This window comes from Homo sapiens, chromosome 1 (assembly GCF_000001405.40).
Source record: "Homo sapiens chromosome 1, GRCh38.p14 Primary Assembly".
NCBI lineage: Eukaryota > Metazoa > Chordata > Mammalia > Primates > Hominidae > Homo > Homo sapiens.
The window spans coordinates 53,724,156-53,740,924 of NC_000001.11; the positions used below are offsets into that span (position 1 = coordinate 53,724,156).

At 49.0% G+C, this 16,769-nt stretch overlaps 1 protein-coding gene across 11 annotated transcripts in view, besides 4 other annotated features; it reads right to left on the reverse strand.

Annotated features, from left to right (window-relative positions):
- The window catches only part of GLIS1 (GLIS family zinc finger 1), a 232,926-nt gene extending 217,917 nt beyond the window's left edge, over positions 1 to 15,009 (reverse strand). For 6 of the 11 annotated variants that reach the window (XM_017000409.2, XM_017000411.2, NM_001390838.1 and 3 more), the window contains exons 1-2: positions 14,950 to 15,009; positions 13,651 to 13,951 (exon numbers count right to left, since the gene is read on the reverse strand). In XM_017000409.2, coding sequence (XP_016855898.1) covers positions 13,651 to 13,909 — 259 coding nt within the window. In that variant the 5' untranslated portion in view covers positions 13,910 to 13,951; positions 14,950 to 15,009. Of the gene's footprint in view, positions 1 to 9,748; positions 10,049 to 13,650 lie in introns of those variants that run through there. The other 5 variants (NM_001390837.1, XM_047447085.1, XM_047447071.1 and 2 more) reach the window with 4 other exon arrangements.
- Positions 14,425 to 15,143: an enhancer, noted in NCBI's record as "H3K4me1 hESC enhancer chr1:54204253-54204971 (GRCh37/hg19 assembly coordinates)". NCBI's record gives its function as "activates a minimal SCP1, AML or CMV promoter by ChIP-STARR-seq in naive H9 embryonic stem cells {active_cell/tissue: H9 hESC(naive)}" and the evidence as "EXISTENCE:reporter gene assay evidence [ECO:0000049][PMID:30033119]".
- Positions 14,425 to 15,358: a biological region, named in NCBI's record as "H3K4me1 hESC enhancer GRCh37_chr1:54204253-54204971".
- Positions 14,829 to 14,998: a silencer, noted in NCBI's record as "silent region_910". NCBI's record gives its function as "represses an Ori minimal core promoter by ATAC-STARR-seq in GM12878 lymphoblastoid cells {active_cell/tissue: GM12878}" and the evidence as "EXISTENCE:reporter gene assay evidence [ECO:0000049][PMID:35858748]".
- Positions 15,009 to 15,358: a silencer, noted in NCBI's record as "silent region_911". NCBI's record gives its function as "represses an Ori minimal core promoter by ATAC-STARR-seq in GM12878 lymphoblastoid cells {active_cell/tissue: GM12878}" and the evidence as "EXISTENCE:reporter gene assay evidence [ECO:0000049][PMID:35858748]".

Here is a 16,769-nt window from a genome sequence, read left to right on the forward strand (position 1 = left end):
TATGGCCATCTGCCCACCCTCTCAACTGGATGCTCCCCAAGGTAGAGGCCAAGGATGCTAGAGACTTTAGCATGTGACAAGAGTGTCAGGAAACAGGTGAGGAACAAATGAATACATTAAAGAATGATATTTTAGACTAATGCTGTCCAACAGAACTTTCTGTGACGGAGGAAATGCTCTATATTTGCAGTTTCCAATATGGTAGCTACCAGCTAGCCATGTGTCTACTGAGCACTTGAAATGTAGCTAGTATGACTGGAAAACTAAATTTTTAATTTTATTTAATTGTAATTCATCTAAATAGCCATAGTGTTTTTGTGGAGAAGCAAACATCACAAGGTAGTTTTAAGATTAAACAAGATGATCTTTTATTTTATTTTGAGAGATAGGGTCTTGCTCTGTCACCCAGGCTGGAGTACAGTGGCTTGACTACAGTTCACTGCATCCTTGAACTCCTGGGCTCAAGTGATCCTCCCCCTCAGCCTCCCTAGTAGCTGAGACTACAGGTGCACACCATCAACCTAGCTAATTTTTAAATTTTAAAAGTAAAGACAGAGTATCACTATGTTACCCAGGCTGGTCTTGAACTCCTGGCTTCAAGCAATCCTCCTGGCTTCAAGCAATCCTCCTGTCTCAGCCTCACCACTAGCTGGGACTACAGGTGCATGGCTGTTAAGATGATTCATTTTTAAAAAGATGATTGGTCCAGTACCTAACAATGCTCAATTGATCACTGTAGGATAATGAAAAAAAATGAGGAGGAGAAAGAGGAATAGGAGGCGAGTCTCCAACAGTGCCACCTGCTCAGCCAACATCAAGCAATGGGAATTTAGTTTTCTCTACCCCACCCCAGCAAATAGCTCTTCCGTATTCTGAGTGCATAGCAGCCAGAGCCATGGAGAGAGTGGGAATGGGAAGAGTGGGGAGGGAGAGGTATGAAGCTGGGACAGGAGACACCCTGCAGACTTGCTGAAAGAGGAAAGTTGTTGGCCTGTATTGCCTGAGACAATGAGTAGGTATTCACTCCAAGAAGAAAGCTTAAGCCACCAGAATCGGCAACAGGTACAAGAAAAGGGCTGCCCAAAGCAGTCCTCAAGCCCAGGATTTAACACTCTGTGTCCACCAGTGTCCTGTAGAGGGCTGGTCTGCAAACTCAAGTTCTGACCTGTCCTAGAGTTCCCAATTGTTAGCCACCTAGAGAGCCCTTTTCCACCCTACCTCACTGATTCTCATGCTACCCTGGCCAGGGGAGTGAGCACCAGTTTCCATTCTGTGACTCAGCAGACCAAGGCTGGGTGAGACTGTCTGAGGTCATGAGGCTGAGACTGGCTGGAGAACTGGAGTCTGCCTAGGACAGACAGCAAATGATAAGGTGCTGATGCCGCACAGAGGCCTGGAAACCCGGCCAGCCTGAAGGGGGAACCTGCAAACACCGACCCTCCAGGCTGCGAGCTCCGAGGAGGCAAGGGCTCCATCTGTTGGTTCTCCATGGTGTCCCAGGGCAGAACCCAACACTGGGAGCACAGCGGGCATCCGATAAATATGGATAAACCAACCAACCACCAGCCAAACACAGGTACAGCCATTCCAGTTTTCAGGCTAATTCTACATACTTCATCCCATCTGCCCCTAACAATTGGCCAGACAGGGGTCATTCCCCCATTTTAAAAGGGGGAACTGAGTCTCAAAAATTGAGAGCCACTCTGAGTTGCTGTACTGAAAATCTGCTTCAAGAACTTCCCAAGAAGCCCCACCTTGACTGGAGAGGGGCAGATTCATCCTGCCAGGGTGCTGTGTTCTTTCTATCCTTTGCTCTATCCTCTATCAGCAAGTCAGAGATGCGTTCATGACATATCCTGCTTCCAAGAAGCCCACAGTTTCATGGGGAAGGGAAAAATGAACGCAAGCATCTGGAACACCTGACTCTTTCATGAGAGATAAATGACAAACAGCAGTCAGACAATGAAGGAAGGACGGGTTAATTCTGGCTGGAGGAGGAAGTTTTTTGACTGTGATGAGTGGGTAACATTGGACCCAAGGCCTTGATGGAAGGTCCAACAGGTGGCAAGGTGTGTAGAAGGGGCGGGTAGGTCGGCAGCTAACACCTACCAGCTCTAGAACTCCGGGCACATCATTTAGCTTCTCCAGGCCTCAGCTTTCTCATCTGCAAAATAAGGATGCTAACACCCACTGCGCAAGGAGTGAATGTAGAAAGAATTAAATGGCCTCATGGGACGTCTACTCACAGCAGGACTCAACAGATGGAAGCCACTACATTACTGCAGGGCCAGGCAGGCATGGGGACGTGGGGAACAGGGTAGTCCTGGCATCTTAGGTTTTAAGAGGAAGAATCAAGGTAATTCCTCTGGATATTGGAGTCTGACAGCAACTCCCAGCCCAATAAACTAGGGAAGAGGTGGGGGTGTGCCTCCAGACCCACTCAACAGACAACCCTCATCCTACTGGACACCACAGGCTGAACAAGCATCTTGGACTGACCCAGGGCCAGGACCTGTCAGAGAGATGCACCGAGGCAGCCCACACCCTCCTCCCTCCCCAACCTCCCCCAGCCCTAGGGGAAACCACTATGCCCACCAGCCAGACCTGCATCCTCCATCTCTGCAGCTCAAGCCTCAGTTTGACCCCAAAGTCCTTATTCTTGTAATTACACCAAAAAAGAATTAAAAAGCAGAATCTGGGAATAAAGTACTACAGTGCAGAGGAGAAACAACATCAGACAGAGTCAGGCCTGGGACCTAGCCCAGCTCTCCACTCACAAAGACTAACAACCACAGCTCACCTCTGGGACACACCTGCTGTGCACTAGCACCTGAGCTATGTGTTCTACAGGCACTCCTCTTAATCCCCCTAGCAATCCATGAGACAGGAACTATCTCCACTTTTCAAATGAGGAAGACTGAGGCTCAGAGTTCAACGAACTTGCCTAAGGCCTAGCAGGTAATGTAGTCAGGATCCAAACTCAGTTCCGACTCTAAAAGCCATGTGGCCGCCTTTGGATAAGTAACATGACCTCTCTGAACCTTAGTCTTCCCAACTACCCAAAGGGGGCTTGAATGAATAATATGATTTCTGGAAAGCTTTACAGTTTACAAAGCCCAAAATGGTGCCCAGAGAAGGGCCATGAGACCAATACATCCCCCAGGGGCTCTAAGCCTGTCCTGGAGTGGAGATCTTGGGTGTGGACACCAATCACCACCCCAGCAGGGTCACCAAGAGCTACCATCCTCTGGCTCCCAGCTCTCAATTCCAACATTTGGTCTAAGGTTCCTCTTCATCTTAGAGAAATCTGGGTGAGACGTGTAGCAACCACTCGTAGCTGCTCTTTAAGCCACAAGATGAGACGCGTGTCACAGTACTTGGGGCTTTGTCTTAAAGGGAGGATAAACATGTGACAAAAAGCGCCAATCCTGGCCAAGAGGCCAATGGTCAGTCACTGCAGGACAGTCATCAGGCCCCAAGCTCCTCCACCTGGCCCCTGGCCTGGCAGCTCCAAAGGCTTGCAACGAAAGAGCCTGCAAGCCCTGAAGCCAATCCTTCCCAGAGGGAGGGGAGAGGGAGGCCCAGCTGAGTGAGGAGACTCCCCCAGGGTCACTAGCAATCAAGGGGCAGACCTTATTTTGAAGAGCCTCAAGACAGTGTTGGAAAGAAAACATGATGGTATCTGCATGTGAGAACTCATGCAGCATTTACTGGCATCTCAGCACCATAAGACAGGGCAAGAAAAAAGAAAAAGAATTTACTGGCATCTCACATGTGTTGAGAGCTTACCATATGTTCAACCTTGCAGGAAAAACAAGAACATCAAACACAGCTCCTCCTTTACAGGCTACAGGCTCCTTGAGACTGGGCTGTACTTCATTCCCAAACTTCCTGGACACTCACTTGGAGCCAGCCCTGTGCTGGCCATACGGGGTTCAAGGATAATGACACTCTGCCCCTGTCTTCAAGGACGCATAAGTAAATAGGAAATTGCCATAGAGTATGAGCAGGGCTATGGCAAAAGGAAGGGTAATAAGAAAGGGAAGACTTCAAAGAGGAGGTGGCATTTGAGCTGGGTCTTAAAGAATCAGTAGGGTCAATCTGGTGGAATGGAAGGGAGGGAAAGCCCTTCCTAGAGGTTCTGTTTACCATTTACATGGTAGTCCTAACAATAATAATTATTATAATCCCAAGATTAATTGAGCATTTACCATGTGCCAGTCTGTTTTTTAAGCACTTATACATGTGTTAACACATTCCACCCTCACAACAGCCTTGGAGATCATTACTATTATTATCCTCATGTCACAGATAAGAAAATTGAGACCCAAAAAGCTCCCTAACTTGCCAAGGTCCCCAAGTTAGTACACAGAGCCAGGATTCGAACCTAGTGGCCTGGTTCCACACCCATGCCCTCAATCAGCACCCTATACATTTCTTATATACAAACTTCATGCCAGACTTTGTGCTGGACACAAGAATACAAAGATGAATCTTTGAATATTATCTATTTTTCCACTTGTTCCAAAAATGATTTAAGGAGGCACAAAGATGAATAAAAAGAAGCCCACAGATTATAAGAAAAGAAGGCCAGGTAAAGAGTAAATTCCAGGTCTAAGGCCGCATAAGGAAAAGTCTGCTGCCACAAGCAGACATCAGCAAGAGATGGAACTGGCCCGGCACAAAGGCCTTGAATGCCAGATCAAAGGGCTCAGATTTTTCCCATTGGCCAGCTGGCTGTCAATCTACATGCCAAGTATAATTTCACAGATCTTTAAAGCATGTACCAAGAACTATCTGTAGGACAAACTGATGTCTCTACAGATGTGTGTAGATGCTGTCGTGGTGGATAAAGTACATATCTACTTAAAAGAGCTCTTGAAATTAGCAGTTACCTAAACCTCATTAGGTATATTCTGCTTCAAGAGATACTAAAAGTATAGATGCTGTCACGTGGACAGTGGAAAGATTTTTGTCCTTATACTTAGAACATTTGGATACCCCTGCTGTCAGGGATGGGAAGTAACACAGAGGTTTTAAGCGAGAAGTTCTACGGACTTGAGGTCTGGGATTTTTGCTCCGCATCCACCCGCGGACCCCTCCTCACCAAGCCGCTCGATCTGTTTGAAATCATCCGTTTGAAGGCCCAAAGAAGAGCCTGCCTCAACGAGAAGCCCTAGCACAGAGATATTCTCACAAAGAGCGCTCCGTAAGTACAAATGACTGTTTGATCAATCATTTGGCCTCAGCGTGGGATTTGGTTAGAATTAAAGCCATCTGGCTGGGGTTGACGGGGGGTACGGAGGGAGGAGACAAGCAGGCGGGAAAAAGACCCACCCCCCTCCCCCAAAAAGCATTGTTAAAACAGGGAAAAATAGTAAAGTTCCTGCTGTTATTTCAGCCTAAGCCACTTAATCCATCAGCACATAAAGCAACTTATTTTATGACCTTTTCCCTTTAAAAAATAAATCAGAAGACGATGCCTTGAATTCACATATCTCTGAAGCACACTACTCATCCCTCCCAGTGAAATATCCTGTTTCATAAACCTTCTTCGAGATACTTGAAACTGCAGATCACTAAATGCTTTGCTTTAGGCATCTGACATTCCAGAGAATTAATATTTAAACTTATTATAGGAAAAAAGAATTGAGTTTGGTTGAAGCATGAAATATTTAATAGTGTCTCCAAATTAGAAACCCTATTTTGTTTCGCGCTGGAAATGCCACGATATTACCTGGGCTTTGCACTCAAATAAGATAAAATGCAAAGGCAGTCTTGAGATTAAACACACAATTACAGCCGTTTTCTCCAGAGAGATGGGGAGTGAGACAGGTTTGGGGAGTGGAAGTGATTGAGTTTCATTTTTACGATATGCTTAAAATTATATTATCATTCTCTGCCTTGAGGGTTGGACTTGAGACTGCTGAAGCTACTTAACCACCGAAAACGGTGTCAAAATCAGTGACTCCGCGGAGGCCTATTCTCAGGCTCTTTAAACCGTCGTCTTGGGATGGGCCCAGTGACAAGCAAAAAACTCCGTAACTTTCTCTGCTTGCTAGGACAAAAGTATTCGGTGGTTTAGGATAAAAATTAAGCTCCAACTGACACAGTGGATCCTGGCAACCTCTGCCGGCACGTGTAATTTATTTACAGGGTTGGAAAGTTGGCAAAATACATCATCAACTCTTACACAAACTTCTACTAGGTATTAAATACCCAACCCTCTGAGAAGTAATTCATATAGTCCAGCAGCGTTCCAAAATAAACCCAATCTCCAGTCCTCCGGAGAGCTTAAAACAGCAAATGGGATCTGTATTTTTCAAGTCAGGTTTATAGTACTCCCTGGTTTCTTGCTAAAGCCTGATTTCTAGCAAACCTGTTATTTAAAAACAAAGGTAACATCTAAAAGAGTAATCTGGTTGCTAAAAAGACACAAATAGGAACAGGCTGGGCTGTACGGCAGGCAGGGCCATCCCTTGTACTTCATTCACTCCCCTTCAGACACAGCGGCACGTAGGAAGGCAAAAACACCTCGGACCAGAACGGCTCCTGCAAGTCCATCTTCAGAATCAGTATGACTCCCTGAGAATGTACACATTCTCATGAATGCACGTGCAAGGCCACAGATGCAACCAGCCGTGGGACCTTTACCTTCCATAGGGGGGGTCATCTAGCTCATTCATCATTTGACACAAAAGACCCATTTCTCACAAGCAAACTCTCAAGTTCACTCTGATCCCCAGCCTGTTCTCCCTCCCAAGCCCTACTTCATCCCACCAAGTGTTTAACAAGAAATAATTGTTTAATAGATCCCTGAGCCAACATGCTTGGGGAAGCACGTATTCTATAACCAGGCATGGTGGGGATCTTGAGGAATTCTCGTCCAACAGATGTCTTTGAAAGCCATAGAGGGGAGACTACGACCGGGGCCTTGGCAAGGAATCTCCCCATATGGCAAGAAAGACTCAGACAGGGACTACTACCTGCAATAACCAGTCAGGACGGGAGTTGCCACTGCTTCTGAGAAGCGGTCCCTCCTAGGGGCCCCCTCCATGGCCTCAGAGAGTCTTTTTCCAGACCCCAGATTCCTGAGGATCCTGAGTCACTGGGAACATTCTCCTTTCCCTAGTTCTGCAGGGGGAGAGGAGCAGTGCCCTACGGAGGCAGAGTATCCCCTGTAAGTCGCACCTCAGCCTGTTGGCTGAGACTGAGAAAGGGGTGCTCTGGGATGTGGCTGTCTGGGCCCCCTGCAGCCTCCTGCTGCCTTCCTTTGGGCTTCCTTGGGGGCGCGCAGCTCTCTAGAGCCGCATCCTCTCCTTCCCAGCCGCCTGGGTTTAAGAAGCTGGTCCTGGAGAGTGGTGTATTTTCAGAGGAAAGTACTGGCTCTGCTGTCAGACAGACCTGGGTTCAAATTCCAGGCTCTGTTGCTTACTACATGCACAACCTTGGACAAATCACTTTGCCTTTCCAAGCCTCAGTCCCCCCATCTTTAAAATTAGAACAGTGCCTCCTTTCTTCCTAGGGCTGCTGGGCATAATTAAATGTGATCACGTCTCTAAAGCATCTCACCTGGCACAGAACAGCCGCTCACTAAAGGTTAGTTGACCTCCCTCTTCCCCATTCTTTCTGTGTTCATCTTTAGCAGTCAAGAGTTCCAGTGTATAACCTGGTCTGAGACAAAAGTGGCCTCTTCCTACACCCCAGATCCTTCCAAACCTTCCCAGCCCAGTCAGTGTGGAATCCTGGAGTATCAGCAGGCAGGGACTATGGATCATCCAACTGAACTGCTCTCCATTTTACAGATGGGAAAACCAAGGCTCAAAGCACAGGGCACGGCCCACTTGCAAAGATGCTACACAATGGCTCATGTGTTAGCTCCAGGCAGGCCCAACCATAACCACCAAATAAATTCAGGCCATCCAGGAAATGCGTTATTCAGTTAACAGACTAAAGGTCTCTTCTCAGCGCATCTGACTCAAATGCTAACTTTAAAAACACAGCTCGTAATGCTAACACGATCCGCCTCGATCCACCGGAAACCTACTGAAGGAATAATCCTTTGGAGTTTAAGGGGGAAAAAGGGCAAAAGAAGAAAACATGCTTTAAGTGACTTTCAACTCTGAGACCACTGGGTTAGGGTTGTATTCTCTCCACCCCTACCCAGCCCAGCCTTCGGCTTTCTTTCAGTTTCTTATAAATATGGCTTTGGGAGACCAAAGTAGCCACAAAACTACTTTTCCCCCTCTTTTCTGCTTTCCTTACTCAGTAACTCAGCTGTCAGTCCCTGGACTTTGCTTCCAATGCTGAAAGCTTTTTTTTTTTTTTCATTGTAAACTATTAATTTGGGCAGTGGCTGCTGATAAACAAGAAGTCCGTTTTTAAACTGCTAGAATCATTAGCACAGTGAAGGCGAGCAGCACAAATATTTCAGGAGTTTGGTCTTTTTTCCTGGCCCTGGTATTACAGCTGTGCTTTTTGCATAATGCAGTCCAAGTTTTCAAAGCCCACTGCAAACTTTGTTTCATTTCTTCTCCCCCTTGAACTGAATGTCTTTGTTTCTTTAAATATAAAAATAAACTACCCCCCACCAAAAGAAACCACACAATTCTCTAGGTCCAAAATAATTGCAACGGAAATCTATATTAAAAAAAAAAAAATAACAAACCACACATTATAATTTAACTTTGAATATAACCGTATATGTAAGGTGAGGTTGCTGAAATACTACCACATCGTGTTGAAAACAGAATTCTTTTCCAAGACAATTGAGAGAAGGAAGGGAAATTATCCTCAGCGATAGTCACTGGTCGACTTCCCAATAAAGTTTATTTGTTTGTTATTTTTTCCCCTAATCCTATCCAAAACAGATTGAAAACCCTGTCCCAAACTTTAGTTTCTCCCCTCTTCCAGGATACTGGCCAAACTCCACAAAGTAAAACCGAAGAAAATGATGATAATTATGCAACATTCAGAACAAAGAACATAAGAATATATTTTTTTAAGTGATTCATTGTGCACTTATGCCTGTAATGGGATTTTAACGCACTGTAAAAATAAGTGTGCTGGCTCACTAAGCTTCTCACGCAAATGAAACGCAGGGAGATGAGTAACTCTGAGATGAGGTTCATTTTGTTTTTTGTTTTTTGTTTTTCAGAAAAAGAAGGATGAAGAAAAATCATAGCATATAAAGAAATTTACATTTTTAAATCACAGATGGAGCAACATAGACTATCGATGTGATTCCACAGCTCTGAAGCTCTGCAGACCTCAGTCCAGCTAAGCACGCTACAGGTAAACTACTCAGAAACAACTAAGCCTAAATTAAATTACGATCTCACGTGATGGTCCCCTTGCCATTTTGCCCACAGAGTCCTAGCTTCTAGAAAGCTTGAGAGGCAGGAAGGGAAGAGGAATTCTAGCCGCCCGAGATTCTTAGGGAATCTTTGGGAATTATATTTCCGCTACATGTCTATAAAAGATTTGTCGGATACATAACTCTTATGACTGTAGACGCAACATGTTCCTATCTCATTTTTTACCCACACACATACTTGTTTCTCTTTGTCTCACTGAGCCTGACATTTGGCCAGCAGGTTTTTCTCCCCCTTATTTGAAACTTCATGCACTGAAAAAATTTGGATCTGATTATTTCCGGATCGCAGGACCAGCACTTTAAAATGGATGAAATGCAAGCAAATTGCCCACCGGAGCCGGAGGGGAGAAATGCTTTAAAAGTCACTCATACCTTTCTATGAGGGATGCGCTAGCCTTCCAAGGCCTCCCCAGAACATCACAGGAGCTTCTTATTCAGATGAAGAAATTCAACCAGGTGGTACCACCAAAACATCATGACTTACTGTCCACCGCCCCCACTCCGAGTCCATGCGCACAATCTACAATTCCTTTTTTTTTTTTTTCAAGTTACAAGACTGACTGCTTTTTGGCATTTACAGCCATGATGGCTGTTTTTATAACGGCGGGGTTCACATTTGTCGTGATCAACCTCTTTTTTATTGCAAGGATGCATCCAGTCTCAGTACACAGTGAAAGGGCCCAGTGAGTCACTGTAAATTAAATAGTGACCTCATTATCTGGTTTGGTGTGGGAACAGCAACTCTGGACAAATGGAATCATGTGGTAAACTATAAAGTTTTCTAACTATGGCATAGATACTAGTTACCAATTCCCAAAGATGTGAGACAGTAGAAATACCAAAAGCAAAAGACATTTTTAAATTCTCTGGGAACGTTCAGAAGGCCTTCGTGTGAATGCCAGCTCTCGGCCGCCAACACACACATGTAGAAGGTACAAGTTGTGGAACCAGAATCAAATATTTGCAGCTGGAAGCCTGGAAACTGCCACCTACTGTCTGCAGCTTTGAGCAAATCCCTGAACCTTAATGTCTGCATCTATAAAATGGGAATCACATTAATAACAGCCAGTATCTGCCCAGCACTTTACAGACTTCTACATCTGCTCCCTCACAAGAGCCCCCAAGGCAGGCAGAGCCCAGCTGGCGTGAGGGCAGACAAGAGGATGTGTGGGAACACGCTCTGAACACTGTAAAGCACCGTGCACAGAGAACAAGCGTCATCAGGCCATCACCACAAAGCTGTCCGCCTGCATAAAGCCCAGATGTTTACCTTCTTTCCTTGTCAGGACTTATAAAAGCAGAGTGTCGGGTGTTTAATAATAGGAAAGAAAAATGCAGCATCTGGCAATTTGGCTTTTCCAGCTGTTTGGAATCTGGATAAACGGGACTCTGCCATAAACAGATCATGATTCTTATTGTAAATGATGACAATGTTAGTCCATGACATCACACCATCCCAGTGCCTCCCGATTCCAGATCAAATACACAGGCCCCAGACATTTATGGATAAACTACTAGGTTCAAGAACCCACTCTCTTCCTCTGCTTAGGGACTGTCTGAGGCAGGCGGCAGAGCATCTGAAACCTGACCCCAGGCTGAGCCATACTGTCTTCTCTCCGGTCACTGGGCAGCTGTGGCCACAAAAGACCTGAAGCTTGGCACCTCTCAGCCTCCCCTGGCTAGCACACCACAGTTAGCACCCTTCACATTCAGCATTTTAAAAATGTAACCTTGCTTCCTTCTCACTCTGTCCCCTTTATCTCAAGTGTCACTGACCCTTGCATGGGCCCTGCACGAATTAATAAAAGTGCCTCCTTCTACCTTTTTAGCTTATAAGGCATTCTTACAACTCTTGTTTTATTTACCCTGCAAGGTAGGCACCATTACCTCTCACGCAAATGAAAACCCAGAGGTTGAGAATGTGAAACAGGTTACAGTAGTAATCCTAAAAATAACCAGGCACTGAGGTGGCCCTTGCACATTCTTTATCACTAATGATCTCATCAGTCTTGCGAATTAAGTCTCAGGGTAAATTTACAAACGAAGGAACCAAAGGCTCAGAAGAGTAAAATCGATTCCCCCAAGTGCCACAGATCATAGATGGTGGGGTCTCACAATTCCCAGCACAGTCAATACATATTTTTCAATTGGTATTTCTGTCTGTTTCCAATAAGCCTGAGAACTTGGAGCTAGACACCAAATATTCAAAGGGTTACATGGTCTGGGACTATTTCGGTGGGAGTAGGGGCAGTAAGAAGGTGCCGTTTCCTCGCAGCATTTTTAAGGACGCTGAAGAACTGGGGGAAAGCTGGGTTTGTCTCGGGCCACTTGGTGACTGCACTGTGAGGAAAAGCTTGCCTATAGCAACACAGAGGCCAGCAGGGAAACCTCTCCAAGCCCAGGACCCTGAGCCTTCCCTTTCTCCCTAGGCCAGGTTAGGCCAGAGCTGTGGCTTCCCTAACCACTGCCCTACACATACCAAACACTTTCCCACCTTCAGGCCTCAGTTTCCTCACCCTTCAAATGAGTGGGATACATCCCACCACAACAGCCTCACTGGGAGGCTATGAAGAAAAGTTGTGAAACCTCTTGGAAAAAAGCTTCACCAGAGAGACCAGCTTAAGGTACAAAGAAAGAGGCTCTTCCTCCCATCCCTTTATTCTCCTCTGCCCTTTCCAAATGGAATCCTGACTTAAAGATCTTTTATTTTGGACATGTTTGGGGGCGTGCGTAAAAATAACTGGGGTTAGGGGGAATGGAAGTAGGAAGATCGTACACAAAGCCCCCAGGTGAAAGGTCTCACCATAGCGTGGAACAAAGATTATGTTCGGGAGAGCTGTTTGCTAGGTCTGCAGAGAACTCGATCTTCAGAGGACAGCCATGATTTTTTTAAACACAGAACGTTGCAGGAGGGTATCTATTTAAGGGAGGATTGTGTATGGAGCGGGGCAAGCCAGGGAGCTCCCGGCAGCAAACATTACTCATGTCTCGCTGCGCAGCGCTCCTCTCTGGTAAAAGAGACCTCATATGTGTGTATTCCAGCAATAACACTCAGCAGGCATTTCCCGCCCCTCCCCACTGTATCTGTCCTTCTAAAATATTATCTCTATCCCTTGAAAAAGAGGCTGGCATCTAAAACAAGGAGATGAGAAGTAGTTCTCTCTTACAAAGTCAAGTGTTTTCTTCAAAAAAGAAAAAAACTACTTATGTTTATTTCATTTTACTAATCCCTGAACCAGGGAGTTGGGTGTTTTTGATCCACAAGGAGCTCTCAACTCTAAAAGTAGGCTGCCTACCCCTTCCGAGTTGTGAGGCTGATGCTAGGAAGTGATGCCTATAACCGTAAAACCCAAACTGTTTTTGTCTTCCTTGAGAATCATCTGGAATGAGAACCAAGAGGTTCCAAATGCAGATATAGTCAAACCCCAAAGCCTTGGTTTCCCCTAAGGGAAAAAAAAAGGGGGGAGGACGAGGACACAGCATCTTAACAATTTCTCCAATTCCTGGTTAATTATCTGTCAGCACGAAACTCATAAATAATGACTCAATAATAATTAACTGTGATGAGAAGAGCATGTTCCTGAAAATCCCAGCACCATCTCCGACTTTGAGCCCATAAGCCATACTGGGACCCCCACCTTCCCGTGGCCAGCTTCACTGGGGGACGAAGGGACTTGCCAAGGAGCTTGTGACCCAAGACTAGGCTGCCGAAGCACCAAGTACAGAAAAGCCATGTTTAAGTTAGGACGTGACTAGGCTGGATTGCTGATGCAGAAAATTTTCCATCAGGAATCCAGAAATCATCTGGTTTAATTAATTCCTCACTTGACAGATGGGGAAACTGAGGTCCCAAAAGGAGAGGGGTCTTGCTAAAGGCCTCTGGGTTTTGTCAGCTGAGGAGATTGAAATACTTCAAACTATGCCTTGAGCTGCTCAGAAACAGATACCAATATATGCGTTGCTATTCGCCCTCATGTATAATAAAATTTTGACAAGTTTCTATGCAAGCTTTATCAGAAACACACAGAAGCAAAATTATGTAAGCTGAGAGCTTTCTATAAACACATTTCCCCAAACGGGGCTAATTGAATTTAAATTAGATGCTTCGCAAAGCAGGCATACTTTCACACTGACAAGCTAGTCCCAAACAATAAGAGAGAAACTGAGGAACTCCGAAGAAAGTTCCACCAAGCTCTCCCGAGCACGCGGTGGCGACGCCGGGCAGCCCGAATCTCCACAGGAGCCGCCAGGCACGTTGGCAGGGCCGAACTCACCCTTCCCGGCGGCGGCGGCCTTGGATGGACCGTAGTCTCGGGGACTGCGGGGCCGGAGGAGGTCGTGGGCGCGCGGTGGCGGCGCAGGCGGCCGGGCTAGCAGGTCCCGCGGGCCCCTGTCCCCGCAGCCGCCGCCACTCACGGTGACCCTGAAGGCCATGTGCGCGCCGAGGCTGGCGGGGCCGCGGTCGGGGCCGGGCGCACCAGGGGCCTCCTTAGGCCTCTTGTCCGAGTGTGCCTCAGCCACCTCGCAATGCATGGCGCCGGGGCGGGGCGCACGGCTGGGGGTCGCGCCGGGCTCCTGGGGAGGGGAGACAGCACAGCCAGTTAGAATGCGGAAAGCGGCCCCCGTATTGTCCCGGGGCCGAGTTTGAGCAGGTCACTGCCCCTTCGGTGGATTGCGCGTCTTTAACATAGGTTAGCACCACGACACCTAGCCCAATCAGAGGTCAAACCCACCTGATTCCACGCAAAAGCCCCCTCGCTCAGGAGCGGTTCGCCCTTCCCTGGTGTGGGGAGGACCCCAGGCCCCCGCGCCGCGGCGCATTACCGCGAAGTCCCACCCAAATCCTCCTCCACCGAAACCAGCCTCCTTTGCACGAATGGTGAAACTGAGGCCTGGAGCGGGTAAGGCGCCTGTTCCGCGTCCCCCAGTGGAACACGGAGCCGGCGGCAACGAGGATTCCCAGAGCAGGGCTCGGGCGAAGCCCCGGAGACGGCTCCGGGTAGGTCACGGGCTGCGCGCTTCGTCGACTCTCCGGGGCCGAGCTGCGCGCAGAAGCTGGGGACCCGAACCCAAAGGCCCGAGGGAAACCCCCAGAGACTCACCCGCGACCACCCGAACCTGGAAAACAGGAGTCCCAAGCTGGGCGCTGAATCCTGCGACGCGAACCCATCACGCGCAGCCGGGACACCCACATTCCTATGCGCAGCGGAGGAATCGAGCCCGTCGCGCGCGCAAACCGGCACAGTGGGCAATGCCCACGCGGCCGCCGCCACACACCCGCACACCCGCCGAGGCACGCCCGGGGACGGACACGCCACCCACACTGCCGCTGGTCAGACGCTCAGCAGCGCACAACCACACAGTCCCACGCTCTCGCCACACGCGCGTGCGATGGGGGCCGCGACAGAGCCTCCCTCAGCCCTTCCATCAGGGGCCCCCAAACTCTCCGTTCCCCTCCGCGCTCCCTGCGCCATCCCCAAGCTGCCGGGGTTCGAGCGTCGCCGGGACGCCAGCCTCGGATCTCGGGCCCCGCACACGCCCCTCCCTCGGCCGCGGGCCGCGCCCCCTCTCACCTCGCAGCGGCAGCTGCAGATCGCTGGGCGCCCGGCTCGGCGCGCCTCCACTGGCGCAGCAGCCCCCGCAGCCGCCGCAGCCGCCGCCGCCGCCGCCGCGTCCTGCGGGGCGGTTCCCCGGGGGACGGGGGCGGGCCCGCGTCTGCCCAACAGCCGCTCCAGCCACTGGCTGGCCGCGGCCGCCCGGCTCAGGCCAATCGCGGCGCGAGGGCGGGGCATCCCCCCCTGGGGGTCTGGGCGGGGCCCGACGCGGGGCTGAGCAGAGGGTTTGACAGGCGGCGGCCGGCTGGATCCCCGCGCTGCCCGCTGTTCTCAGACGGCCGAGCCGGGCAGGACGGCGGGGCGGCGCCGCGGCGAGAGAGGCTGGGCTCGGGGGTCGGCGGAGTGCGCTGGGCGTGAGGAGTGCCGGGCTGAACCCGGCTCCCTGCCCGCCTCTCCACTAGCCCCGGGCAGGATCCTCCCTTCTCCCGGTCGGTTTTCCCCTCCGTCAGATGGGAACGACGCTGTCTGCTAACGCGAAGCGGACAGATGCGAAAGTGCTTGAAAAGTTTTCTTGCAGAATCCAACCCTCTCACTGGAGAATTTGCAGAGATTTCACAGCTAGTGGGCAGCAAATTTGGGACCCAAACCCAGGCCTCTCAGCCCACTTTCTTACGTTTGTTTTTGTGTTTTCCGCCGGAAAGAGTCCAGGGTAAAAGGTCTCAAACTCTGAAGTTAAAGATAAAAAAATGGTGCCTGATCCCAACTAGGAAATATTCCAATTGAGTCTTGGGGAATAGGCCCCCAGCACTTAGGCTTTTAGCGAGCTCCCAGGAGATCCTTACAGATCTGGGGATTGAGACCCACTCTAGGGGTCTACTCTGTTGTCCTGCCTTCTGGGATTCCCCCACAGACAGCACGCAGTGTCTCAGGGGGCCCTGCCCAACGTGTAGGAAGAGCACGGGACAAAGAACAGTAAGGCTTCACAGAGCCTGCAGGCAATGGCTCAGTTCCCCGCTCTGAGCCTGAGTCCTCCCGTGTAAAATGGCAGTGTTTGCCTAGGCCTGGTCTACCTGCCATGCCTACCGAAGGATCCAGCCAAGCCCTGAAATGGTTTCTGCATTTCACCTAGGCGCCTCCTGTGCACTGTTTGATGGTGGTCTGGGCTGGCTCCAAGGGGCCTGACTGGTTTCGAACTCCTTTGAAGTCTGGTCTCTTTGACCTTGGTCTCAAACTGGAAAATGTATATGGAGCCCTTCTGGACTACACAACATGTCAAGTTCATAGCACAGGACTCTGCACAGAACAACCGACCCCAAGCAGCATCCTCAGAATCCTGGAAAACCAGGATTTTAGAATTTCAAAATCATAAAATTGGATTTCCTATAATTTGTTTAAAATAGTATCTAACAATTAGAGTAATAATAGTAAGAAAGACTTTGAGGTTTTAGTTAGACCCACCCTCCATTCAGAGGAGAAAGGACGTGACTGGCCTGTGTCAATGTGGTGGAGGGTGGCAGAGCCCCGGGATCCAGGCTTCCTGACTCCTGGCAATGCTGTTCCTTCAGTACCAACCACTCTGCTGCTCACAGGGAGAGGGTGTAAATCAACCATGCCCATAACACACAGGCCAAGGGTTGCGCCTCACTCAGTGCCTGCACCCCCCACCACCACATACTCTTGTGGAGTCACAGCTGGTTCTGCTGCCAACAAGCCATGTGGCTCTAGACGAATGGTAACCTCACTCTGGACCTCAGCTTCCCCCCTCCAAAGGCATGAAGTTGGAAGATCTCTGGCCTTTCTAGTTCTGCTCTTCTCTTCAGTAAGGCCAGGATCCAAGT